Source organism: Homo sapiens, chromosome 5 (genome assembly GCF_000001405.40).
Source record: "Homo sapiens chromosome 5, GRCh38.p14 Primary Assembly".
NCBI lineage: Eukaryota > Metazoa > Chordata > Mammalia > Primates > Hominidae > Homo > Homo sapiens.
The window spans coordinates 140,608,083-140,635,594 of NC_000005.10; the positions used below are offsets into that span (position 1 = coordinate 140,608,083).

The following is a 27,512-nucleotide window of genomic DNA, read 5'->3' on the forward strand; positions in this document are numbered from 1 at the left end:
CCCAGCCTCTCATTGTGTTTTTGGTTTGCATTACCTTAATGGCCAATGATTTTGAGCATCTTTTCTTATGTTTGTTAGTCATTTATTATAATTTCTTTGTGGCAATGTTCAGTCAAGTTCTTTGCCCAGGTTTTAATTTGCCTGTTTGTTTTTGGTATTTTACTAATGAATAATAATGTTGAGCATCTTTTCATGGACTTTCAGGCATTTGTGTGCCTTTGGAGAAATGGCTATTCAAGCCCTTTTCCCATATTTTTACTTGATTTGTTTGCCTTTTTGTTGCCGAGTTGTAGGAATCCTATATAAACTCTGGGTAGTAAACCATTACCAGGTATATAATTTGCAACATTTTCTCCCATTTTGTAGGTTGTCTTTTCACTTTATTTGGTAATGCCTTTTGATGCACAAAAGCTTTTAATTTTGAATTCCAGTTTATTATTATTTATTTTGTTGCTCAGGCTTTTGGAGTCATATCTAATAATCCACTGCTAAATCAAAGGCCACAAAGATTAGTTTCTGTGTTTTCTTCTAAGAGCTTTATGGTTTTGGCTCTTACATTTAGGTAATCAATTAATGTGGAATTAATTTTTGTATATGATTTGAGGTAAGGGTCCAACTTCATACATCTGCATATGGATATCCAGGTGTCCCTTTGCCATTAGTTGAAACTAGTGTTTCCTTACTGGATGTTCTTGACAACCTTGTCAAAATAAGTTTCCCATAGACATGTGGGTATATTTCTGAACTCTCACTTCTATTCCATTGATCTGTCTGCTTATCCTTATGCTACTACCACACTGTCTTAGTTACTGTTGCTTTGCAATAATGTTTTGAAATCAGGAAGTGTGAGTCCTCCAACTTTGCTCTTCTTTTACAAGGTTGTTTTATCTATTCTGCACCCATTGAACTTCTATATAAACTTTACAATTAGCTTGTCAATTTCTATAAAGAAACCAGCTAGGATTCTTATAAGACTTTCATTGAGATTGAAAAGGAGTAGCCATGGCTCTGTGCCACCCCATGACTGGGGTCTCAGCAAGGGCCCAGGTAATGATGGGGTAAGGAGAAAGCCCAGGCTCAGTCGCCACCACCATGGGCACCTCACCAAGAACACTGAGTTTGTGCAGACCTGGCCTGAAAGGGGTATGGCTTTGCCCCAAACGAGCGGCATGCCATGGAGTTGCTTGAGGTTTCTAAGGACAACTGGGCCCTCAAGTTCATCAAGAAAAGGGTGGGGACACACATCTGTGCCAACAGGAAGCAGGAGGAGCTGAGCAACATCCTGGCCGCCAAGAGGAAAGCAGCTGCCCACAAGGAATGAGCCACCCTCCCCTGTGAGCATAATAAAATCTTTATTTTATTATGGAACTTGTGGTCCTCCTCAGCAGCCTCCCTGGCATTGGAAAGGAGGGGAGGTCCAGTCTGTTCATCTGTTTGGGACCCACCCCCGGGCAGGACCACACCCTGTCCTGGATCCAAGCCCCCTACCTCGGGCATGGGGCAACAGGCATAGAAGCAAGTGCTGGAAATGATTTCTAATCATAATGCAATATCTCATACACACCAAAAAAAAAAGAATTTCATTGAATCTGTAGGTGAATTAGGGGAGAATTGTCATCTTGACAATCATAAGATCTATGAGCATGGGATATTATTCCATTTACTTAGATCTTCTTTAATTCCTTTCAACAACATTTTGTAGTTTTAAGAGTGTAAGTCTGCTCTTCTCTTCTTTTGTTATATTTGTTCCTAAACATTTTATTCTTTTTGCTGCTGTTGCAAGTGGAATTTTTTTCTTTTTTCTTTTTTTGAGACAGAGTCTCACTGTCACCCAGGATGGAATGCAGTGGTACTATCATAGCTCACTGCAACCTCAAGCCCCAGGGCTCAAGTGAGCCTCCCACCTCAGCCTCCCAAGTAACTGGGACTACAGGTGCAAGCCACCATGCCTGGCTAATTTTTTTTTTAAGTTTTGGTAGGAACAGTCTGGGCACAGTGGCTCACGCCCAGAATCCTAGCACTTTGGGAGGCTGAGGTGGGCGGATTGCCTGAGCTCAGGAGTTTGAGACCAGCCTGGGCAACATGGTGAAACCCCATTTCTACTAAAAAAAAAAAAAAAAAAAAAAAAGCCAGGCGTGGCAGCATGTGCCTGTAGTCCCAGCTACTCAGGAGGCTGAGGCAGGAGAATTGCTTGAACCCAGGAGATGGAGGTTGCAGTGAGCTGAGATCATGCCACTCCACTCCAGCCTGGCGACGGCACAAGACTCTGTCTCAAACAAACAAACAGAAAGTTTTAGTAGGAACAATGGTCTCCTTGTGTTGCCTAGGCTGGTCATGAACTTCAGGGCTGAAGCACTTCTCCCGCCTCAGCCAACCAAAGTGCTGGGATTACAGGCATGAGCTACCACACCTGCTCAGAGTTGTTTACTTAATTTAATTTTCAGAATGTGCATTCTAAGTGTATTGACATACAATAGATTTTTGTATATTGATTTTGTATTTTGCAATCTTGCTGAACTTGCTGATTAGTTTTCATGTATTTTAGTGAATCACTAGGAGTTTTTAATATATGTGATTATATAATCTGTGAATTGACATCATTTTACTTCCTGCTTTTCAACCTGGATGCCATTTATTTCTTTTACTAATTTTCATGGCAAGAACCTCTAGTACAATGTTGAATAGAGGTGGTGAGAAAATACATCCTTGTTTTGTTGCTGATCTTAAGGCAAAAGCAGTCTTTTACTATTAAGTATGATATAAACTGATTTTTTTTGGCAGATGTCCTTTACCATGCAAGAAAGTTCCCTTCCTTCCTTTTGTTGAGTGTTTTTTCGTGAGAGGTGTTGAATTTTGTCAAATGCTTCTTCTGCATTTATTTAAATAATCACGTGGTTTTTTATTTCTAATTCTATTTTTCTGATGTATTACATTAATTTTCAGATGTTAAACCTGTAAGAATTAAAGAGGAAAGAAACATGAAAGGCAGCTCAACAAAGACAGGTTTATTTTGGAGCATAAACCTGAGAGGGGCTTCTAACCAAGTTAGGTCAGAGCCACTCTCTCTTCCAGACTAAGAGTTTTTAAGGGTTCAGGGCAGGAGAGCTTATCATAGGCTCAGAATGTTTCTGTGTCTCTTTGTCTTGCTTATCTGGGAGGCACAGTTTTGTGTCTGTTCCCATACATCTTCCTGCAGCTACAGGCATACTTCCCATCACTCCCGCCACCCCCAGTCTGCTTTTAGCTTCCCTATCTCAGTGCACCTAAAGGAAAAGGAATGTGCTTATCAGGGCCCACTGTTTTACTGGGGCCTATTGTATGAGTGTGAAGTTTGGTGGTTACCCAGGAGATTTTCCCCTCTCCCTCTGTGCCTGAGCTGTCTTGTCTGTGTTTTACTGTCTGCGCTTTGTGGCTGCTTGTTGTTAGAATAGAAATGATTTCCTTGAAATGCATGAGGTTAGAAAAGGAGCTGGAACTTAAAGTGGCAGTGTTTGTCCAAGATGACAGTGCTCCTGCTCTGTCAAAACCATCATTGCACTCCTGGCATAAATCCCAATTGGTCATGGTGCATAATTATTTTTATATGTTGCTTGATTTGGTTTGCTAGTGTTTTGTTGAGGATTCTTGTGTCCATACTCATAAGACATATTGGTCTGTAGTTTTCTTTCCTTGTGATGTCTTTGCAGCCATTCTTTCTTAAACTTAACCACAAGATCAGACCTATCATACACAATATCATATGTAAAAAAGAATAAGCAATTTTTAGATAGCCTAAAAGATTCAAGTCAGTGTTCAATGTCTTCCATTACATGTGATTTTAAATGTTTTATAAAGAGCCTCCCATGATCTGGTAAATGAGGGGCTCTGAGCATTAGAAGAAGTGGGGTTTGTGTTGGAGAAAAGAAGACTGGATGGGAGAGAGCAAGTTTTTTTTGAGAGCAAAACTCTTGACTTAGTGTAGAACAACAACAAAAACACACTAATGTCATTTTGATTCCAGATGACAGAGCAGGAGCAAAAGAGGAAGTTTACAGGGAAACTGATTTGAGATCAGAAAAGGAAGTCCTACAACCACAACATTCCACTGTTTCAGCATAAAGTCTGTCACATCACACCAACCATCCGACCACAAAGTGCCATGTAGAAGTGGAGCCCTTGCATCTCTCAGTCCATTTCCCGCTCCTTGCCTCACTTCCTTCCCTGTTTAGGGCACATTATTCAGCCTTGCTTTATTAACACAACTTGCCCAATCTTTTTTTTTTTTTTTTTTTTTTTGAGACGGAGTCTCGCTCTTTCACCCAGGCCGGAGTGCAGTGGTGCTATCTCGGCTCACTGCAAGCTCCGCCTCCCGGGTTCACGCCATTCTCCTGCCTCAGCCTCCCGAGTAGCTGGGACTATAGGCGCCCGCCACGGCGCCCGGCTCATTTTTTGTATTGTTAGTAGAGACGGGGTTTCACCGTGTTAGCCAGGATGGTCTCGATCTCGCGACCTCGTGATCCACCCGCCTCGGCCTCCCAAAGTGCTGGGATTACAGGCGTGAGCCACCGCTCCAGGCCAACTTGCCCAATCTTAGGGCCTCTCTGAGGATGCCCTGCACCCCGACCTCCGACCTTGGTTGAATGAATCCTGTCCCCACACTGCTGGACAAAGTTGAAAACAAAAGATCACAATCCTTGAGACTGGAACCATGACACATAGTTTATGGTCTTCAAACTCAGTTCAGCAAATATTTTTACTTGACTTTAGTGAAGTAAAATACTATTCACTGTTTCCTCACTTTCCTTTTGGTCTAGTCCTCAGCCCACTCTTCAATCAATCAAATCAGTGAAGATTTATGGAACATTTGCCATGTACCAGGCACTGCTTCAGAGGCTGGAGATACAAAACTGAACAAGAGCAACACAATCTCTGGTCTCATGGAATTTTCAACCCAAAAAAGATACAAATAAAGAAGACAATTTCTGATAGAGATAAATGCTGTGAAGAAAATCATGCATGATGTTAGGATAGAAATGATGCCAGGAGGGGCCGGGCACGGTGGCTCATGCCTGTAATCCCAGCACTTTGGGAGGCTGAGGCAGGCCAATCACAAGGTCAAGAGCTCGAGAGCATCCTGGCCAACATGGTGAAACCCTGTCTCTACTAAAAATACAAAAATTAGCTGAGTGTGGTGGCATGCACCTGTAGTCCCAGCTACTTGGGAGGCTGAAGCAGGAAAATCGTTTGAACCTGAGAGGCAGAGGTTGCAGTGAGCCGAGATCGTGCCACTGTACTCCAGCCTGGCAACAGAGTGAGACTCTGACTAAAAAAAAAAAAAAAAAAAAAAAAAAAAAATGGTGGCAGGAGTAGCTCCTTTCAGATGGGGTGACATCTGAGTTGAATTCTAAACAGTGAGCCACACCTACCCATCAGCATCTTTGCCCAGAAACTTTGCCTTCCAGCAGAGTGAGACTACAAATTGACTGTTTCGGTTTTTACACTAAAACTAATCCCTCCACTTGTGAACTAGGTACCAGTCCCTTTTATCTACTCAAGAACATTGCTCCAGCAGGACTCCCTTTTCTCCTGTCTCACCAAGTTTTCCGTCTACTGTTTCTATCTTCATACAATCATGCTATTTCTATTATTATTATTATTTTTATTTTTAAATACAGTTGTGCCCAGCTGGAGCATAGTGGTGCAATCATAGTTCATTGCTCATTGTAACGTCAAACTCCTGGCCTTAAGCAATCCTCCTGTCTCAGCCTCCCAAAGCACAGGGATTACAGGCATGAGCCACTGCACCAGGCTCATCTCTCATCGTTTTTTTTTGTTGTTGTTGTTGTTGTTGTTTTGAGAAGGAGTCTCACTCTGTCGCCCAGGCTGGAGTGCAGTGGTGCGGTCTCGGCTCACTGCAACATCCGCCTCCCCGGTTCATGCCATTCTCCTGCCTCAGCCTCCTGAGTAGCTGGGACTACAGGCGCCCGTCACCATGCCCAGCTAATTTTTTTGTATTTTTAGTAGAGACAGGGTTTCACCGTTTTAGCCAGGATGTTCTGGATCTCCTGACCTTGTGATCCGCCTGCCTTGGCCTCCTGAAGTGCTGGGATTACAGGCGTGAGCCACTGAGCCCGGCCATCTCTCATCTTAAAAAACAACAAATGCGGCCAGGCACAGTAGCTCATGCCTGTAATCCCAGCACTTTGGGAGGTTGAGGAGGGCATATAACCTGAGGTCAGGAGTTCAAGACCAGCCTGACCAACATGGAGAAACCCCGTCTCTACTAAAAATACAGAATTAGCTGGGCGTGGTGGCACATGCCTGTAATCCCAGCTACTTGGGAGGCTGAAGCAGGAGAATTGCTTGAACCCGGGAAGCAGAGGTTGCAGTGAGCTGAGATCAAACCATTGTACTCCAGCCTGGGTGGGCAACAACAGCGAAACTCTGTTTTAAACAACAACAACAACAACAAATGTAACAGCATACTCACTGGTAAGAAATTGAAAGCTTTCCCTCTAAGGTCATGAACAAGGGAAGTACTTTCTTTCTTTCATTCCTTTTTTTTTTTCGAGACAGAGTCTCGCTCTGTCACCCAGGCTGGAGAGTGCAGTGGCACGATCTTGGCTCACTGCAAGCTCAGCCTCCCAGGTTCACGCCATTCTCCTGCCTCAGCCTCCCGAGTAGCTGGGACTACAGGCGCCCGCCACCACGCCTGGCTAATTTTTTGTATTTTTAGTAGAGACAGGGTTTCACCGTGTTAGCCAGGATGGTCTCGATTTCCTGCCAGCCTCGGCCTCCCAAAGTGCTGGGATTACAGGCATGAGCCACCTCGCCCAGCGGGAAGTACTTTCAATACTTCTTTTAACATAGCACTGTAAGTCCTAGCCAGAACAAGTAGGCAGGAAAAAGAAATAGAAGGCATCCAAATTGGAAAGGAAGAAGTAAAATTAATCTCCATTCGTAAATGACATGATCTTATATGTAGAAAACCCTAAAAATTCCAAAAAGCCTGTTATAACTAATAAACAAATTTAGTAAAGTTGCAGGATACAAAATCAACACTGAAAAATCACTGTTTCTATATATTAACCATGAACAATCTGAAAAGGATATTAAGAAAACAATTTCATTTACAATAGCATGAAAAAGAATAATAAAATACTTAGGAATAAACTTCACCAAGGAGACAAGACTTGTACAATGAAAACTACAAAATGTTTCTCAGAGAAATTAAAGATACAAATAAACAGAAAGTTAATCCATGTTCATTGGTAGTCTTAATATTTTTATGATATCAACACTCTCTAAAGTGATCTACAGATACAATGCATTTCTTAGCACAATTCAATGGCTTTTTTTTTCAGAAATGGAAAAATTCATTTCAAAATTCATATGGAACCTCAAGGGATCCTGAATGACCAAAACAATCTTGGGAAAAAAAAGAACCAAGTTGGAGATCTCATACATCCTGATTTCAAAACTTATCACAAAGTTGCAGTAATCAAAACAGTGTGGTACTAGCATAAAGACAGACACATAGACCAAGGAATAGAATAGAAATCTCAGAAATAAGCCCTCACATATGTGGTCAAATGATTTTGACAAAGGTGCCAAGACTATTCAATAGATAAAAGAAAGTCTTTTCATACTACGGCACTGGGGAAAATAGATATTCACCTGCAAAAGAATGAAGTTGGATCTTTACTTTATACCATATGTAAAAATTAACTAAAAATTGATCAAATTGCTATAAGAGCAAAAAGTATAAAACTCTTAGAAGAAAACATAAGGCTAGGTGCAGTGGCTCATGTGTGCAATCCCAGCTCTTTGGGAGGCCAAGGCAGATGGATCACGAGGTCAGGATTTCGAGACCAGCCTGGCCAACATGGCGAAACCCTGTCTCTAGTGAAAATACAAAAAATTAACCAGGCGTTATGGCAGGCACCTATAATCCCAGCTACTCAGGAGGCTGAGGCAGGAGAATCACTTGAACCCAGGAGGTGGAGGTTGCAGTGAGCCGAGGCCATGCCACTGCACTCCAGCCTGGGCAACAGAGCGAGACTCCATCTCAAGAAAAAAAAAAGAAGAAGAAAGAAAGCATAGTGAAAAAAAGCTTCATTAGATTTAGCAATAATTTCTTGGATATGGCACCACAACCAACAAAAGTAGAAACAGATAAAGGGACTACATTAAAATCTAAAACTTTTGTGGCCCAGGCATGGTGGCTCATGCCTTTAATTCCAGTACTTTGAGAGGCCAAGGCCAATGCGGGAGGATTGCTTGAGTTCAAGAGTTCAAGACCAGCCTGGGCAACATAGTAAACCATATCTCTACAAAAAAAATTTTAAAAATTAGCTGGGCATGGTGACACCGGCCTATAGCCCTAGCTACCTAGGAGGCTGAGGTGGGAGTAGTGCTTGAGCCCAGGAGTCTGAGGTTGCAGTGAGCTATGATCACGCCACTGCACTCCAACCTGAGTGACAGAGAGACCTTGTCTCTAAATAATAAAAACATTGAAAATTTAAAAAATAAATAAGACTCTGTGCATCAAAGGATGCAATCAGCAGAGTAAAAACGCAATGTATGGAATAGGAGAAAATATTTGCAACTCATATATCTGATAAAAGGTTAATAACTAGAATATATGAAGAACTCCTGCAACTCAATAACAGCAAAACAACATGATTAAAAAATGGGCAAAGGTCCAGTCATGGTGACTGATGCCTGTAATCACAGCACTTTGGGAGGCCAAGGCAAGTAGGTCATTTGAGCTCAGGAGTTTGAGACCAGCCTGGGTAACATGATGAACTCTATCTCTACAAAAAATAAATGTTAGGCAGGTGTGGTGACACGTACCTGTAGTCCCAACTACTCAGGAGGCTGAGACAGGAGGATCACTTGAGCCTGGGAGGTGGATGTTGCTGTGAGCCGAGATCATGCCACTGCACTCCAGTCTAGGCTACGAAGCCAAACCGTCTCAGGCAAAAAAAGAAAAAAAAAAAAGTCAAAGTACTTGAATAAACATTTCTCCAAAGAAGATATATAAATGACCAATAAGCACATGAAAGATACTCAAGGTCTTGGCTGGGTGCAGTGGCTAACACCTGTAGTCCCAGCACTTTGGGAGGCCAAGGTGGGCAGATCACTTTAGGTCAGGAGTTCAAGACCAGCCTGGCCAACATGGTGAAACCCCGTCTCTACTAAAAATACAAAAATTAGGCTGGGTGTGGTGGCTTACACCTGTAATCCCAGCAGTTTGGGAGGCTGAGGTGGGAGGATCACTTGAGGTCAGGAATTCGAGACCAGCCTGGCCAACATGGCAGAACCCCGTCTGTACTAAAAATTAGCCAAGTGTGGTAGTGCACACCTGTAATCCCAGCTATTAGGGAAGCTGAGGCAGAATTGCTTGAACGTAGAGGGCTGAGGTTGCATTTAGCCGAGATCGCACCCTGTACTCCAGCCTGGGCAACAGAGTGAGGCTTTGTCTCAAAAAAACAAAATAAATACAAATACAAATACAAAAATTAGCCGGTGTGGTGGTGCATGCCTGTAGTTTTAGCTACTCGGGAGGCTGAAGCAGGAGAATCGCTTGAACCCAGGATGCGGAGGTTGCAGTGAGTGGAGATGATGCTACTGCACTCTAGCCTGGGCAACAGAGTGAGTCTCTGTCAAAAAAAAAAAAAAAAACTCAAGGTCTCAAATCGTTAAGGAAATGCAAATGGAAACCACAATGAGATACCTCCTCACACTCATTATTATGGCTACTATTTTTTAAAACCCCAGAAAATAGCATGTGTTCAATATTGGCGATATTTGAACCATTGTGCACTGACAGTGGGAATGTAAAATGGTGCAGCTGTTATGCAAAACGGTACGAGCAAAAGGCTCAGAATAGCCAACATAATATTGAACGGGAAAAACAAAGTTGGAGGACTGACACTACCTGACTTCAAGATACTATAAAGCTACAGTAATCAAGACAGTATGGTATTGGTGAAGAAAATAGAACAATGGAACAGAATAGAGAGCCCAGAAACAGACTCACATATATATTGTCAACTGATCCTTGAAAAAGGAGCAAAGGTCGGGCCGCACGCGGTGGCTCACACCTGTAATCCCAGCACTTTGGAGGCTGAGGTGGATGGATCACTTGAGGTCAGGAGTTCGAAACCAGCCTGACCAACATGGCGAAACCCCATCTCTATTAAAAATACAAAATGAGCCAGGCGTGGTGGTGCATGCCTGTAATCCCAGCTATTTGGGAGGCTGAGACAAGAGAATTGTCTGAACCTGGGAGGTGGAGGTTGTGGTGAGCTGAGATCACACCATTGCACCACTCCAGCCTGGGCAACAAGAGTGAAACTCAAAAAAGAAAAAGAAAAAGGAGCAAAGACAATACAATAAAGAAGAGAGAGCTTTTTACTTTTTCTTTTTTTTTTAACTTTTATTTTAGGTTTGGGGGTATATGTGTAGGTTTGTTATATAGGTAAACAAGTGTCATGGGGGTTTGTTGTACATATTATTACATCACCCAGGTATTAAGCCCAGTACCCAATAGTTATCTTTTCTGCTACTCTCCCTCTTCCACCCTCCCCACTCAAGTAGACCCCAGTGTCCATCTTTTCCTTCTTTGTGTTCATAAGTTCTTATCATTTAGCTCCCAGAGAATTTTTTTCAACAAATGGTGCTGGAACAACTAGAAATCCACATGCAAAAACATGAATCTAGACACAGATTTTATACCCTTTGAAAAAAATTAACTCAAAATGGATAAGAGACCTAAAGGTAAAACTCAAAGCTATAAAGTTCTTAGACAATAACGCAGGAGAAAATCTAGATGACCTAGGGTTTGGCAATGAATTTTTAGATACCACACCAAAGGCAGAGTTCATAAAAGAAAGAATCGATAATCTAAATTTAAAATTTAAAAAGTCTCCTCTATGAAAGACATTGCCAAGAGAATGAAAAGAGAAGCCACAGACCAAGAGAATATGTCTGCAAAAGACTTACCTGATGAAGAACTGATGTGCAAAATATACAAAGAACTTTTAAAACTCAACAATAAAAAACAAGCAACTTGATTTGATTAAAAAATGGGCAAAGACTTTAATAGACACCTCACTGAGGAAAATATACAGATGGCAAATAAGCATATGAAAAAGTGCTCTACATGATGTTATTGACAGAGCAGGAGCACCATCATCTTGGACAAACACAGCTACTTTAAGTTCCAGCTCCCTTTCTAGCCTCATGCATTTCAAGGTAATCACTTCTCTTCTAACTACAAGCAGCCAGAAAAAAACAAACAATAAAACACAAATAAAACAGCTTGGGCACGGAGGAAGGTGGGGGGAAAGTCTCTTGGGTAACTGCCAAACTTTACCCTCATACAATGGTCCCCAGTAAAACAGTGGGCCTTAATAAGCATATTCTTTTCCTTTCAGGTGCAATAAGATAGGGAGGCTAAAAGCAGACTTGGGGGGTATGCCTGCAGCTGCAAAAAAATGTATAAAAACAAACACACAACTCTCCCTCCCAAATAAGCACAACAAAGAAAAAAAAAAGCAGTCCATGCCTCTAATAAACTCTCCCACCCTAAATCCTTAAAAACTCTTAGTCTGTAAAAAAGTGTGCCTCTAACCTAACTGGGCCAAAAGCTCCTCTTGGTTTGTTTTCTCCAAAATAAACCTGTCTTAACTGTCAAGCTGTCTTTCATGTTTCTTTCCTCTTTCTTTAATTATTACAGTTATCAGGAAAATGCAAATGAAAAGAACAATGAGATATCACTACACACCTTTTAGAATGCCCAAATCCAGAGTACTGACAACAACAAATGCTGGTGAGAATGTGGAGCAACAGGAACTCTCATTCATTGCTGGTGGAAATGCAAAATGGTATAGCCACTTTGGAAGACAGTTTGGCCGTTTCTTACAAAACTGATCATACTGTATTCTTACCTTAAGATCCAGCAACCACATTCCTTGGTATTTATCAAAGGAGTTGAAAACTTGCTCATGGGTGTTTACAGCAGCTTTATTCATAATTGCCAAAACTTGGGGGCAACTAAGATGTCCTTTAGTAGGTGAATGTATAAACTGTGGTATATCCAGACAATGGAATATTATTCAGTGCTAAAAACAAATGAACTATCAAGCCATCAAAAGACATGGAAAAAACTTAGATCCATATTACTAAGTGAAAGAAGCCAATCTTAAAATAATACATACTGTGTAATTCCAACTATATGACATTATGGAGAAGACAAAACTATATTGACAGTTTAAAAATTGGTGCTTGCTAAGGGTTGCGGGGAGGGAGGGATGAATAGACAGAGCACCGAAGCCTTTTAGGGCAGTGAAAATAGTCTGTATGATGATATAATGGTGGGTACATGTCATTATACATTTGTCCAAACCTAAAGGATATACCATACAAAGAGTGAATCCTAACATAAAACTATGAACTTTGAATGATAATGATGTGTCAGTGTAGGTTTGTCAATTGTAACAAATGTACTACTCTGGTGGGGGTTGTCGATAATGAGGGAGGCTATGCATGTGTCAGACCCAGGGGTATATGGAAAATCTCTGTGCTTTTCTCTCAATTTTGCTGTGAATCTAAAACTGCTCTTTTTAAAAAGTCTTAATGGGTGTATGTGTGCTAGGGAGGTTGGGGTGGGTGGCTCACGCCTGTAATCCCAGCACTTTGGGAGGCCAAGGCAGGAGGATCACTTGAGCCCAGGAGTTCGAGCCCAGCCTGGGCAACATAGTGAGACCTTGCCTCTACAAAAAAATTTCTTTAATTAGCCAGGCGTGGTGACATGCACCTGTAGTCCCAGCTACTTGGAAGGCTGAAGTGAGAGTACTGCTTGAGCCCAGGAGGTCGAGTCTACAGTCAGCTGAGATTGTGCCACTACACTCCAACCTGGGGGACAGAGTGAGAACCCATCTCAAAAAAAAAAAGTCTTTAATGAAAAGAAACCTAAAAATAGAATCACCATATGATCCAGCAATTTCACTCTGAATATATGCCCAAAAGACCTATCATCAGCATTTAACCCACTATTGGACCCACTGCCTCTCTTGGAATCAATTTCTTCACTTGGCTTCCAGGACATTTCTCTCTTCTGTTCTACTTCCTTCAAAGACCATTCCTTCTTAGTATCCTTTGCTGATTCCTCCCTGTTGCAGGAAGTCAGGGACCCCAAATGGAGGGACGGGCTGAAGCCGTGACAGAAGAACGTGGATTGTGAAGATTTCGTGGACATTTATTAGTTCCCCAAATTAATACTTTTATAATTTCTTATGCCTGTCTTTACTGCAATCTCTAAACATAAATTGTAAAGAGTTCATGGACGCTTATCACTTCCCCAGTCAATACCCTTGTGATTTCCTATGCCTGTCTTTACTTTAATCTCAATCCTGTCAGCTGAGGAGGATGTATGTTGCCTCAGGACTATGTGATAATTGCATTAACTGCACAAATTGTACAGCATGTGTGTTTGAGCAATATGAAATCCGGGCACCTTGAAAAAAGAACAGGATAACAGCAATTGTTCAGGGAATAAGAGAGATAACCTTAAACTCTGACCGCCGGTGAGCCGGGTGGAACAGAGCCATATTTCTCTTCTTTTAAAAGCAAATGGGAGAAATATTGCTGAATTCCTTTTCTCAGCAAGGAACATCCCTGAGAAAGAGAATGCACACCTGGGGGTGGGTCTCTGAACTGGACCCCCTGGGCGTGGCCATCTCTTATGGTTGAGGCTGTAGGAGTGAAATAGACCCCAGTCTCCCATAGCGCTCCCAGGCTTATTAGGAAGAGGAAATTTACGCCTAATAAATTTTGGTCAGACTGGTTGATCTCAAAACCCTGTCTCCTGATAAGATGTTATCAATGACAATGGTGCCCGAAACTTCATTAACTATTTTAATTTCGTCTCGGTCCTTGTGGTCCTGTGATCTCACCCTGCCTCCACTTGCCTTGTGATTTTCTATTACCTTGTAAAGTACTTGATGTCTGTGACCCACACCTATTCGCACACTCCCTCTCCTTTTGAAAATCCCTAATAAAAACTTGCTGGTTTTTGCAGCTTGTGGGGCATCACGGAACCTACCGACATGTGATGTCTCCCCTGGACACCCAGCTTTAAAATTTCTCTGTTTTGTACTGTCCCTTTGTTTCTCAAGCTGGCCGACGCTTAAGGAAAATAGAAAAGAATCAACGTGAATATCGGGGCAGATTCCCCGATACCTCCCCATTTTTGTGACTTCTTAATGTTGCAGTGTCCTGGGCTCAGTCCTCAGACATTAACAAAAAAATCTAGAAAATGAAGTAGCCCCTGCTATCTGCTCAAGTTTATTCCTCCAGCTGCTTTCCAGGGTCAGGATACACAGGAGTGGAGGTGTTAGGGGCTGGAAGTAGACTGTCACTGGCTGTAGTGTTGATGTTTTCAAGCTGCTGTTGCTTCTGCTGCTAAGAGAGCCATCTGCAAAAGGATGTTATACAAGAACAGTGAAAAGAAATTCAGAACTGTTATTCCAGATACATGGAAAGACTGTGTGAAGAATGTTACAGAAAGCGGTGGAAGGGAACAACGAAAATAAGAAATGTGCTAGAAGCTTGTACACCAGCTGGGTTCTCCTTACTGCCAGGGCTTTAGCTACAAAAAAAAAAAAAAAAAAGAAAGAAAAAAGAGAAAAAGGCTTCTGAGCAATGCATGGGGAAACGTTTTTGGACACCAAAAACTACAAGCAAGCATCTGACTAGAGGGACTGAAGAAATTTCTGGCTTTCTGTATGATTTTACTTTCTTTTTATGTATTTATATTTTATTTTTTAATAGAGACTGGGTCTTGCTGTGTTGCCCAGGCTGGTCTCGAACCCCTGGGTTCAAGTGATTCTCCCAGCTTGGTCTCTCAAAGTGCTGGGATAACAAGCATGAGCCACCATGTCTGGCTTTGATTTTGCTTTCTGCTTTGAATTCTCAAGGTATAACACAGATGTTCTGGAACAGGAATTAAAAGAAATTAAGGAGTGTGTAAGCAGAAACTAAGTTGTATGTAAGAAAACCCAGTTCCCCTTGAGAAAGAGAAAGAGCTGGAGTCCTTTAAAAACTAACTGCCTATTTTTCTATGGCTAGTGAGCCTTATCTCTCCTCCTTTCCCAGGCATTGTGAAGACCCTGTTTCCCTAGCTGTGCAGCTGCAAAGTCACTAGACAGATAAACTCAAGTTGCAAAACATGTTTTTCCTTGAAAAGTAAGAAATGATGTAATGCATGTCTCAATTAATTAAATAACTGTCTTTGTTTCTCACTTCTGTAGCATGCTTCCCCCTGTACAGATCTCCCCCACCCCACAAAATGCTTAAAAGGTAACTTAACTCTTTGTTCAGGGCTCAGTCCTTTGGATGTTAATCTGACTGGGCCAGTGCACCTAAATAATTAATAAATATCATCCTGAACCCCATCGGTCTCTCTGATTCCTTAAAAATCCCGCAACAGTTCAAGTTACAAAATAACATGTTTTAAGACAAATAATTAAGTTTAAGCCACAGGGCGAAATGTATCTATGCTCACATCTTTAGTGATTTCATCAAGTCTTATAACTTAGGCCTCAAACCATAGAGTCATCCCTGAGCCCACCTTTTTTCTCTTTTTTAAAAATTTAGTTGAATTTTTATACTTAAAACATTTTAAAAAAATAGAGATGGAGGGTCTCAGTATGTTGCCCAGGCTAGTCTCAAACTCCTGACCTCAAGTGATCCTCCTGCCTTGGCCTCCCAAAGTGCTGGGATTATAGGCATGAGCCACCTTGCCCAGCCATCCCTTTCTCATGTTCCACCCTTTATATGTAAAAATCCTGTGAGCTCTGTCTTCAAAAAATGCGCATAATTTGACCATTTCCCCCCACTTCTACTATCCTGATCCAACTGTCACCATGTTTTTGTGTGGGTTTTCTTAAACAGCTTTATATTGAGTTGTGATTCACAACAAATAAAATTCACCCTTTTAAAGTATTTAATTTAGGCTTGGCGTGGTGACTCATGCCTGTAATCCCAGCACTGTGGGAGGCTGAGGTGGGCAGATCACGAGGTCAGGAGTTTGAGACCAGCCTGACCAAAATGGTGAAACCCCGTCTCTACTAAAAATACAAAAATTAGCCAGGCCTGGTGGTGCCTGCCTGTAATCCCAGCTACTCAGGAGGCTGAAGCAGGAGAATCACTTGAACCTGGGAGGCGGAGGTTGCAGGAGCCGAGATCACACCTTTGCACTCCAGCCTGGGTAACAGAGTGAGACTCCATCTCAAAATAAATGAATAAATAAATAAATAAATAAAGTATTCAATTTAGTGGTGTTTATTATATTACCAGAGTTGTGTAACTATAACCGCGCTTTAATTTTAGAACATTTTTATCACCCCAAAAAGAAATTCTGTATCCCATTAGAGGTCATTCCCCTTGACCACCCCACTTCTAAGCAACCACAAATCTTTGTGTCTCTATCTATCATCATTTCTTTTTTTATTTTTATTTTTGAAACGGAGTCTCACTCTGTGATCTTGGCTCGCTGCACCTCTGCCTCCCAGGTTCAAGTGATTCTTGCACCTCAGCCTCCCGAGTAGCTGGGGCTAATTTTTTTTTGTATTTTCAGTAGAGACAGGGTTTTGCCATATTGGCCAGGCTGGTCTCGAACTCCTGACCTCAAGTGATCCACCCACTTTGGCCTCTCAAAATGCTGGTATTACAGGCATGAGTCACTGCACCCAACCTCACCATCATTTCTTTCTTTCTTTCTTTCTTTTTTTTTTTTTTTTGAGATGGAGTCCTGCTCTGTGCCCAGGCTAGAGTACAGTGGCATGATCTTGGCTCACTGCAACCTCTGCCTCCCAGGTACAAGTGATTCTTCTGCCTCAGCCTCCTGAGTAGCTGGGATTACAGGCGCTTGGCACCGCGCCTGGCTAATTTTCGTATTTTTAGTAGAAACGGGGTTTCACCGTCTTGGCCAGGCTGATCTCAAACTCCTGACCTCATAATACATCCGCCTTGGCCTCCCAAAGTGCCAGGATTACAGGCGTGAGTCACTGCACCCGGCCTCCATCATTTCTTGACTGGGTTATTGGTATAAATTCCCAACGAGTCTTCTAACTTACTCTCTATAGTTTACTTTCAACACAGCAGCTAATGTGATCCTTTAAAAATGGAAACCAGTTTATGTTACCCTTTGTCAGTATCCTCAGGTGGCTCTCTATTTCACCTGAGTGAAAACCAAGCTTCACAGTGGCCTGTGAGCCTTAAACAACAATTGAGGCCACTTGCTATCTCTCTGATATCATTGCCAATGTCTTCCAGGGCCTTTGTACTGGATGTTTCCTCTTCCTGGACTGCTCTTCCAGCAGATAACTACAAGGCTCACTCTCTCACCTCCCTTAAATCTTTGCTCAGAAGTCACCTCATGTGAGGTCTATTCTAACAACTATAAACTTGCAATCCTTCACCCTTATGCCCAGCAATCCTGACTGTTTTGGCTCAGCTCTATTTTCCCCACAGCACTTACCATCATCTAGCACTTTATACTTTCTTCTCCCCACTGCAATATGAACACTTTAAGAGCAGGAACTTTTGTCGCTTTGCTCACTATAAGTGCTTTGTCCTCAGCACTTCCAAAGTGCTTGTCAGGTAGTGGGAGCTCAATAAATAATTGTTAAATGGATGAATAAATTAATGACCAGAACATTCCAGGCAGAGGGAAGAACAAGAGGCAAAGGAAAGAATGGCTAGAATATGTTGGGGGTGATGTTGGTTTACAAGGTGGAGATGACAGTAGAGGAGGCATAGGGAGTTGCTGACCATGTCTCCCTATGTTCTCTGTCTCAAGTTCTAAGTTCTCTTCCTATTTCTCTGTCTCCTTTGAAGACCCTGCTTTCTCCATCCTGAAATGTTGACTGATGATTCCCAGTTTCCTTCTTTAGCACGGTCTCTTCTTTCTCCCCTCCTGGCCTGGGTGAACTTACTCATGGCTATTCATGGCTACGGTTTCCACAGGCATTTCTACACTGATGGCTCCCAAATTCTTATAGCCAGGCCAAACCTGTCCCCTAAGCTCTAGCCCCTATGGCTAACTGCCTACTGGACTGTCCACCTGTGAGTGGCTCTAAGCAACCTATGCCCAGTCTTCTTTTTTTTTTGAGATGGAGTCTTGCTCTATCACCCAGGCTGGAATGCAATGGTGTACTATTAATGTCAAACCCAATTCTTAATAAAACCTTATAGAAAAAGATATCCAATTTTAATCAGTTTGACCATAAGGTAAGAGTCTCATAAACCTTTTATTACCCTTTATATATTTTTTCTTTATTTTTTAAGACAGAATCTCACTTTGTCACCCTGGCTGGAGTGCAGTGGCATGCTTTCAGCTTACTGTAACTTCTGCCTCCTGGGTTCAAGTGATTCTCCTGGCTCAGCCTCCCAAGTGTCTGGGATTACAGGCATTGTATCCCATTAGAGGTCATTCCCCTTGACCACCCCACTTCTAAGCAGCCACAAATCTTTGTGTCTCTATCTATTATCATTTCTTTTTTTATTTTTATTTTTGAAACAGAGTCTCACTCTGTGATCTTGGCTTGCTGCACCTCTGCCACCATGCCACCATGTCATGCTAATTTTTTGTATGTTTAGTAGAGATGGGGTTTTGCCATGTTGCCCAGGCTGGTCTTGAACTCCTGACCTCAGGCAATCCTCCTGCCTTGGCCTCCCAAAGTGCTAGGATTACAGGCATGAGCCAAAGTGCCCAGCCTATATTTTACTGTTAAAGAGCAGATCAGTGCTCTAAGAAAACTCTATTGTGCTTTTATTCCAATGTTCAATTTATGGAAAAATTGAATACCCCTTTAACTTTAGCCAGTATGTCCACAGACAGAATTTATATTTCATAAACCTGCCACAACTTGCTCAAAGCTTCTACTTTTCCCTATCCAACTTAAAATAATACTTTAACCCCCTAAACTAGGCAAAAAAAAAATCCACATTCCTGTGCCTTCTTATAATCTTTTGCCAAAAACACATTCACTTTCCTTACGCACTTTCCATGTAAAACTGTTTCTCTACTAGTCTCAATTGCATATGTTACAATGTTACGTCTCAGCAACTTTTTTTTTTTTTTGGTGAAAAACCTGGTAAGTAAGCAATTTTAATTATGTACCAGGTGTGGAGCCTAGGACACCAGACAGAAGTGCAGATAAGGTCTGATCTTTCCAGCATAGCTAGAGGGCATGGCTAACTCCACATGTCTCTAGGCATTACCTAGAATCTAATGGTTCCAAAGCAGGTAAGTTGAACAATGATCATATCAAGGAAGCAGTTTATGTAGTTTAGTAAACTCAGTGTCTGACCTGCCTAATTTAGACCAAATGTATAAATTTTGAAGACATTTTTATTTTACCAATAATCTTTAAAACTGTCTTTATTTCCCAAGGATTACTAAAGTCATATGAACTAAAAGGCATTAAAGTTTTAATTTTTCTGACAAAATATTTAAGTGCTTTTTCTTTAAGCCAATTAATTAGAGCTCTTTTATATAAACATTACACACACACAACATATGTAAATAGACAGACAGAAGAAGATCCAGTTATTGTAAGCTTTTTCATTTGCCAGTTTTTACATTTTTCTTTTCTTTTTTTTTTTTGAGATTAGCCAGGTGTGGTGGCGGGCGCATGTAGTCCCAGCTACTCAGGAGGCTGAGGCAGGAGAATCACTTGAACCTGGGAGGCAGAGGTTGCAGTGAGTCAAGATTCTGCCACTGCACTCCAGCCTGGGTGACAGAGTGAGGCTCCATCTCAAAAAATAAAAAAAACAAGTAACATATCTGATTGCAATATGCTGTGAAGACAAGTAAAACAGAGAAAGGGAGCAGATATTGTTGTTGAGGATTGATATGTATACAGGTTGACTATCTTTTTTTTTTTTTTGAGACAGAGTTTCACTCTTGTTGCCCACGCTGGAGTGCAGTGGCGCAACCTCGGCTCACCACAACCTCCGCCTCCCAGATTCAAGTGATTCTCCTGCCTCAGCCTCTGGAGTAGCTGGGATTAGAGGCATGCGCCACCACACCCAGCTATATATATATATTTTTTCCCATTTTATGAAACCTATCACAACTTACACAGACCATCTATGACATGCTTGGATATTCTGACTTGTCCTATATTTCCCTCTTTCTTAGGTCTGTTTCTGTTCCCTGAAATGTAAACTTGTGACTAAGATACCTAACCTCCTGAAATTGCGGCCCAGCAGGTCTCAGTCTCATTTTATCCAGCCCCTGTTCAAGATGGAGTTGCTCTGATTTGAATGCCTCTGACAGATGCACTTTACGGCTTTTCTTTTCTTTTCTTTTTTTTTTGAGACAGAGTCTCACTCTGTCACCCAGGCTAGAGTGTAGTGGTGAGATCTCAGCTCACTGCAACCTCTACCTCCCAGGTTCAAGTGATTCTCCTGCCTCAGCCTCCCAAATAGCTGGGATTACAGGAGCACACCACCACATCTGGCTAATTTTTGTATTTGCAGTAGAGACAGGTTTCACCATGTTGGCCAGGCTGGTCTTGAAGTCTGGAGACCTCCAGTGAGCCACCCACCTCGGCCTTCCAAAGTGCTGAGATTACAGGCATGAGCCACCATGCCCAGCCATTTTATGGCTTTTCTTGGCATATCTGAATTGTGGGCATCACTATTCTTGTGCTGGGGGTCCATTATTAAGTAAAATAAGGGTTACTGAACACAGGCACTGCTATATGGTAACTGTTGATCTGACAACCCAGACAGCTCCTAAGTTACTAACGAGCTAGTAGTGCCTACAGTGTAGATACACTGTACAAAGGGATGATTCATATCCTGGATATGTGATGGGTTACAATCCAAACAGTTAAAACTTTAGGTTGGGTGCAGTGGCTTATGCCTGTAATCCCAGCACTTTGGGAGGCAGAGGCAGGTGGATTACCTGAGGTCAGGAATTCACAACTAGCCTGGCCAACATGGTGAAACCCTGTCTCTACTAAAAATACAAAAATTAGCAGGGTGTGGTAGTGCATGCCTGTAATCCCAGCTACTCAGAAGGCTGAGGCAGGAGCATCACTTGAACCCCAGATGCAGAAGTTGCAGTGAGCTGAGATCAAACCACTGCACTCCAGCCTAGGTGACAGAGAGAGACTCTGTCTCAAAAAACAAAACAAAACAAACAAAACCCAAAAAACTAAAAAAAATAATAATAATAAATAAATAAAATGTTGCAGTATTTGCACATAACCTACATACATCTCCCACATGCTTTAAATCATCTCTAGATTACTTATAATTCCTAATACAATGTAAATGCTATGTAAATAGTTGTTATACTATATTGTTTAGGGAATCATGACAAAAATATTGTATAAAGTTATCTTCAGGCTATTATCTAAAGTGTATATGAAACATAAATGAATTTTGTATTCAGACTTGGGTCCCATCCAAATCTATCTCATTATATATACGCAAATATTCCAAAATCTGAAAAAATCCAAAACTTCTGGTCTGGAGCATTTTGGATAAAGGATAGTCAACCTGGCTGGGTGTGGTGGCTCATGCCTGCAATCCCAGCACTTTGGGAGCCCGAGGCAGGCAGATCACCTGAGGTTGGGTGTTCAAGACCAGCCTGACCAACACGGAGAAACCCTGTCTCTACGAAAAATACAAAATTAGCCAGGTGTGGTGGTGCATGCCTATAATCCCAGCTACTTGGGAGGCTGAGGCAGGAGATTTGCTTGAACCTGGGAGGTGGAGGTTGCAGTGAGCTGAGATTGCGCCATTGCACTCCAGCCTGGGCAACAAGAGTGAAACTCTGCCTCAAAAAAAAAAAAAAAAGGATAGTCAACCTGTATAACATATCAATCCTCAACAATATCTGCTCCCTTTTTTTTTTGAGACGGAGTCTCACTCTTTCGCTCAGGCTGGAGTGCAGTGGCGTGATCTTGGCTCACTGCAACCTCTGCCTCCCAGGTTCTAGTGAGCAATTCTCCTGCCTCAGCCTCCTGAGTAGCTGGGATTACAGACACATGCCACCACACCCGGCTAATTTTTGTATTTTTAGTAGAGACAGGGTTTCATCATGTTAGCCAGGGTGGACTCGATCTCTTGACCTCGTGATCCGCCCACCTCAGCCTCCCAAAGTGCTGGGATTATAGGCATGAGCCACCACACCTGGCCCAGATATATTACTCTTTAAAAAAAATTTTTTTTTTTGCAATCAGATATGTTACATCACCACTACTGCCTTAGTCAGCTCAGGCTACCGTAATAAAATACCATAGACTGGTGGCTTAACCAACAGAAATTTATATATATTCTCACAGCTATTTCTCACACATAAAAAACTATCTTTTATGTGTTCCCCCGACCCCCACTGGATTGGAATTCCCTAAGGGCATGGATGTTTCTGATTCATCTTTGTATTTCAGGCTTTAGCACAAGGCCTGAGGTGAAATGTGGTTCTGTAACCATTTGATGAAGTGTGATCAGAGCTATTCAAGGGAAGAAAAAAACTGCCTTGAGATGATTAATTCTCTGATACTAGAAATCTCTCAACTGGCTGGTTGAAGGCCCCTTGGGGACATTCCAGTGAGTGTCCAGCTAATTTAACTGTTTTCTGACATATTTTGAGTCTGGTTCTGGTAATGTCTGTAACTCTCTTATCAATGTTAATTTCCATTCCCTATTCCTATCTGTGTGGCTCTGGACATTGGCCAGAGGCAGGTGCTGGGCCTATATGCCTCCTCCCACCTTTCTCCCATGCTCCCTGTGAGGCAGGCATCTAGCTCTCTGATGGATGTGGCTGCCTCCTCATTGAAATGAAGAAGGGGCTCAGAAGAAACAGCACCTCTTGATGGCTGATGCTGTAGGTCTCTGAGCTAATGTGGACTAGAGGACAAATCCTGTTTATTCTGAAGTTTTGAAGAGTCTGAGATGCTTTCCTATTTGCCAATCAGTCAGCCTGAAAAGGTTATCTGCATATGTGTTCTAACAGAACACAGGATCTCTAATTCAGAGACCGACTGTATCTTGCGTCAGTTCCCTAGGCCCAAATTTCCCATTATGTCGGGGAGTGACACAGTGAAAGCCTCCGGGTGAAGAGAGGTTTTACAAGAGAGGAACCCTAATATTATGAAACTCAGAGCTTGTGCAGGATAGGAGGCTGTCCCTCTTCCTTGAGTGGTAAGGGAGACAGACAGAGAGGGAGAGGGAGGGTGTGTGAGTGTGTGTGTGTGTGAGAGAGAGAAAGAATAAGGAAATAAGCAAATGGCTGTGGGTTTTATTACCTTTGAAAGGGAGCAGCTGGCTCTTGGGAAGTGCATAGGAGAGGAAATATTTTGTATCTTCCAAATATCATGCAAATACCTTTTAATCCAGATGCCAATAATCTGCTCAGAAAGCCCTGACTGCACACTCATTGTTTCTCCCATGCAGCCCTAGCCAGGAGTCCTTTCCTGGCTCCTTCTATCCCCGCAGTTCTTTTCTTGAGGAGGACAGATAGGGTTTCTTAGGGAGTTAGGATGAAGAAAGCCTAAGTATGATGAATTCCCCATCCAGCACTGTGCCCAGCACATAGCAGACATCCAATAAAGGTCTGTTAAATGAATGACACGGACCCGTTGTTTAAGATTTTAATAAAGGTGGGGCAAAGGGTTGAATTGGTCGAAAAGTCCTCAACGTCCTGACGGGACTCCCCTGAAGCCAAGGCAGTTTGAGTCCATTCATTATTCTGTCTTGGATCTTAGGCAAAGCCCCGGGCCCCTTGGAGCAGCACCAGGGTTCCCGACACCCCCACCGACAGGGTCGAACGTGCACAGGCTGGGACCACGCCGGAGTTCATTGAGCCCTCGTGGGGGAGGGCAGTTCCAGGGACCAGGAAGGGATTCCCGTCCAGTGTCAGGTTATCCACCTCGGGCAGCTCGTCAGGCTGCGGCGCCCTGTTCAGTCTGTTGCAGCTGAGATCGAGCACTCTGAGCTTGGCTGGCAGTCCTTTAGGCACCTGTTCCAGCCCAGCGAACGACAGATTGAGGGAGTTCAGGGCGCTGGACCACATGCATCTCGGAGCGCTAGGGTTTACGGTGGCGCGCAGCGAGTTGTGGCTGAGGTCTAGGCTGTGGGGCTGCACACCTGCCGCCGCCAGTGCGGCGCACACGCCTGTGGGCGTCTCCATTCCTGTGTTGCGCAGCGCTAGATTCTGGATGGCCGGGAACTTGTGGGGACAGAGAGCCGCCATCAGTCCGCGTTCGCCCAGTCCAGGATTGTCAGACAGGTCTAGGCTGGTAAGGGCCGGGAAGGCGCGAACCTGTTCGCAGGAAAAGGCAGGCGAGTGTGCTTGGGCAATGCTCAGTACCTTGAGGCCTGGCTTGAGCCACTGCTGCAGCTCGGCGAGCCAAGAACGCCCTGTCGCCCACGACACGTTGCGTAGGCGCAAGCTGGAAAGTGCAAGTCCTGTGGCTTCCAGAGGCAGCGGAGGCATGGTGCCGGTTATCTTTAGGTCCTCGAGCGTCAGTTCCTTGAGGCGGGAGTACGCTAGCACACGCAGGGCGCCTACCAGTAGCTGAGCAGGAACCTGTGCGGCTCCCACTGTGAGCCGCCGCACGCGGAGAGCCTTGACCGTGTCAGCATACTGCCGCGGGTCGGCGTCCGCATCGACGCGCTTTAGAAACGGCTCTAGGTTGAGACCGCCGGCATGGATCTCCACCTCTACTGCAGACACACACTGGAAGGCTTCGGACCAGTCGGGCTGAGGTTCGGAGAAGTTGCAGACGCAGCGGAAATCTTCATCGTCCAGCTCACAAGGTTCTGGCGTGGTCGCAGAGACGTGCACCAGCGGCAGCAGCAGCAGCAACAAGCAGGACGCGCGCTCCTGGGGAGAGAGCAGAGGTCTAGGAGGCCCCATCCAACCCCTGTGGCTCCCGAGTGGCACGCGTTCGACCCCAAGACCCTACACTCACCATGGTCGATAAGTCTTCCGAACCTCTGAGCTCCGGACAGGCTCTGGAAGTGCTTTAGCTTCTTTCCTACACAGCGGCACCCGCCGGCTTCCAGGCTTCACACTTGTGAACTCTTCGGCTGCCTCTGACAGTTTATGTAATCCTGGGATGTCATTCAGTTCCCTCCTCTGTGAACCCTGATCACCTCCCCACCTCTCTTCCTCCGAGCCAGCCCCCTTCCTTTCCTGGAAATATTGCAATGAAGGATGTTTCAGGGAGGGGGACCGTAACAGGAAGGATTCTGCAGGGCATCTAGGGTTCTGTGTCTCCTGGCAGTGTCCTGATGACTCAGGCGCCCCAGGCGGTGAATGCCCTGTTGACTCGGGAGCCTAAGCCTTCTCTGGTGGGTGTGGGAAAAGGATGATCCTCAGTGCCTTAGGCCAGTACCATACTCTGCACTATCCAACCCCCCAATCCCCCTACCTTATATCCCAGAGAATCTACTTGATTCATTTCTTTGACTTCTTCCTTGTCTTGGTTTATGTTGATCTCCTGCCACCAAATCCAAGTCCCTGAATATCCTCAGATATTTAACTGCATGTTTTGTGGAAGAGATTGTGAACCTCATCTGTTGGCACCAAGGGGGGTAGAATTAGGTTCAAGAAAAGGAAGTTGGTCTAAAGAAAAATTCCCCCTTCCTTTTTTTTTCCTTGCTCCTTTGATTAAGTAATAACTTTCTTTCTTTTTTTTTTTTTTTTTTGAGATAGAGTCTTGCTCTGTTGCTCAGGCTGGAGTAGAGTGCCATGATCTCGGCTCACTGCAACCTCCGCCTCCTGGGTTCAAGCAATTCTCTGCCTCAGCCTCCCGAGTAGCTGGGATTACAAGTGCCCACCACCACACCCAGCTAATTTTTGTATTTTTTAGTAGAGACAGGTTTTCATCATCTTGGCCAGGCTGGTCTTGAACTCCTGACCTTGTGATCCACCCGCCTCGGCCTCCCAAAGTGCTGGGATTACAGGCGTGAGCCACTGTGCCTGGCAGTACTAACTTTCTTAAAAGTGGATGTATTTAACAGAGACACATTGGCCAAGTCTCTGGGTCACTTACACTATCCATTTTCTGTCCTGAAATTGTGAAGCAAGGTATTTTGAATCAGTTTTCCCACTTGCACGTTGCTCTCTCCTGCCCTCCCCTCAGTACAATCTCTGTGCCCTAGGAAGGAAGGGATGGGACTATGTTGAATGAGGATTAATTAGTAACTCACCAGTTTCGCAAAAAACAGACAAAAACAGAAAACAAAACAAAATGAAAAAAACAGCAAACAAAACAAAACAAAAAAACAACAAATGTCCCAGAGAATAAGGAGCTACGCATTTACAACAGCCCTCACAGGTCCACATCCCTAGACCTCTGGGGAAAGAACTATATGAAAGTCTTTTTTTTTTTTTTTTTTTTTGAGACTGAGTTTGGCTCTGTTGCCCAGGCTGGAGTGCAGTGGCGTGATCTTGGCTCACTGCAACCTCCGCCTCCCAAGTTCAAGCAATTCTCTTGCCTCAGATTCCTGAGTAGCTGGGATTACAGGAGCCCACCACCATGCCCGGCTAATTTTTGTAGTTTTAGTAGAGACAGAGTTTCACTATGTTGACCAGGCACTCCTGACCTCAGGTGATCCGCCCGCCTTGGCCTCTCAAAGTGCTGGGATTACAGGCGAGAGCCACCACACCCGGCCTGAAAGTCTTTTTTACTTTTATTTATTTATTTGAGACGGAGTTTTGTTCTTGTTGCCCAGGCTGGGCGCGATCTCAGCTCACTGCAATCTCCGCCTCCCAGGTTCCAGCAATTCTCCTGCCTCAGCTTCCCGAGCGGCTGGGATTACAGGCATGTGCCACTACACCCGGCTAATTTTGTATTTTTAGTAGAGATGGGGTTTCTCCATGTTGGTCAGGCTGGTCTCGAACTCCCGACCTCAGGTGATTCACCTGCCTCGGCCTCCCAAAGTGCTGGGATTACAGGCATGAGCCACCGTGCCCGGCAGAAAGTCTTTTTTAAATTCCCACTTCCTCTTTAATTGAGAAAGAAGTAGCTGCAGATTTGTCCCCAATCCAAACAAGAAGGCTCATCACTGCCCCCTGCGGGTCCTGTTGGGCATACCCCAATGCACTGGGCCATGCCCTGGTGCCATGCCAGGCCTCTGTGATATCCCTGAGGACCAAGATATGATTATATCTGACTCAAAGTCAGATAGCCAGTCTTGGAATCCCAGCTTTACGACTGAGGTTATGAGACTTGGGCCTCCCTTCTGTAAAATGGAGATGATAGTATTACCTGTTTGTGAGTAAAGTCTTTGGCACAGAAACACATCTTTTTAGTGTGGTCTTGATGACTAGTCTTCTTTCTCAGAGTCTCTGCTTTCAGAGAACTCAGGCCACTGAAGTCTGACACCTCATCATCTTAGGGGAGGCACTCTGGGTGGGGAGTTCCAAGTTAAGAGGGGCAGTGATGGTTCTGCAAAGATCTCCAACTCACAGCTTGATTCAACAAATGTCT

The 27,512-nt window shown here is 43.6% G+C and overlaps 2 protein-coding genes and 1 pseudogene across 10 annotated transcripts in view, besides 3 other annotated features; 2 read left to right on the top strand and 1 right to left on the bottom strand.

The window, feature by feature from the left end:
* Window positions 1–27,512, top strand: part of TMCO6 (transmembrane and coiled-coil domains 6) — a 51,203-nt gene that overhangs the window by 11,553 nt on the left and 12,138 nt on the right. The gene's annotated exons all lie outside the window — the stretch shown is intronic.
* RPL36P11 (ribosomal protein L36 pseudogene 11) lies at window positions 1,003–1,321 on the top strand (annotated as a pseudogene).
* On the bottom strand, window positions 23,650–25,619 carry CD14 (CD14 molecule). Of its 4 annotated transcripts, none has more exons than NM_001174105.2 (3): window positions 25,470–25,619; window positions 24,987–25,110; window positions 23,650–24,898 (listed from the first exon to the last, which is right to left on the bottom strand). In NM_001174105.2, the coding sequence occupies exons 2-3, from the start codon at window positions 24,987–24,989 to the stop codon at window positions 23,774–23,776; spliced, it is 1,128 nt and encodes a 375-aa protein (NP_001167576.1). In that variant the 5' UTR covers window positions 24,990–25,110; window positions 25,470–25,619; the 3' UTR covers window positions 23,650–23,773. The 4 variants fall into 4 exon arrangements, with proteins under 4 accessions (NP_001167576.1, NP_001035110.1, NP_001167575.1 ...); NM_001040021.3 differs by having other exon boundaries at window positions 25,449–25,619; NM_001174104.2 differs by having other exon boundaries at window positions 24,987–25,210; window positions 25,449–25,619.
* Window positions 23,736–24,237: an enhancer, noted in NCBI's record as "H3K27ac-H3K4me1 hESC enhancer chr5:140011403-140011904 (GRCh37/hg19 assembly coordinates)". NCBI's record gives its function as "activates a minimal SCP1, AML or CMV promoter by ChIP-STARR-seq in primed H9 embryonic stem cells {active_cell/tissue: H9 hESC(primed)}" and the evidence as "EXISTENCE:reporter gene assay evidence [ECO:0000049][PMID:30033119]".
* Window positions 23,966–24,025: an enhancer, noted in NCBI's record as "active region_23280". NCBI's record gives its function as "activates an Ori minimal core promoter by ATAC-STARR-seq in GM12878 lymphoblastoid cells {active_cell/tissue: GM12878}" and the evidence as "EXISTENCE:reporter gene assay evidence [ECO:0000049][PMID:35858748]".
* Window positions 24,238–24,737: an enhancer, noted in NCBI's record as "H3K27ac-H3K4me1 hESC enhancer chr5:140011905-140012404 (GRCh37/hg19 assembly coordinates)". NCBI's record gives its function as "activates a minimal SCP1, AML or CMV promoter by ChIP-STARR-seq in naive H9 embryonic stem cells {active_cell/tissue: H9 hESC(naive)}" and the evidence as "EXISTENCE:reporter gene assay evidence [ECO:0000049][PMID:30033119]".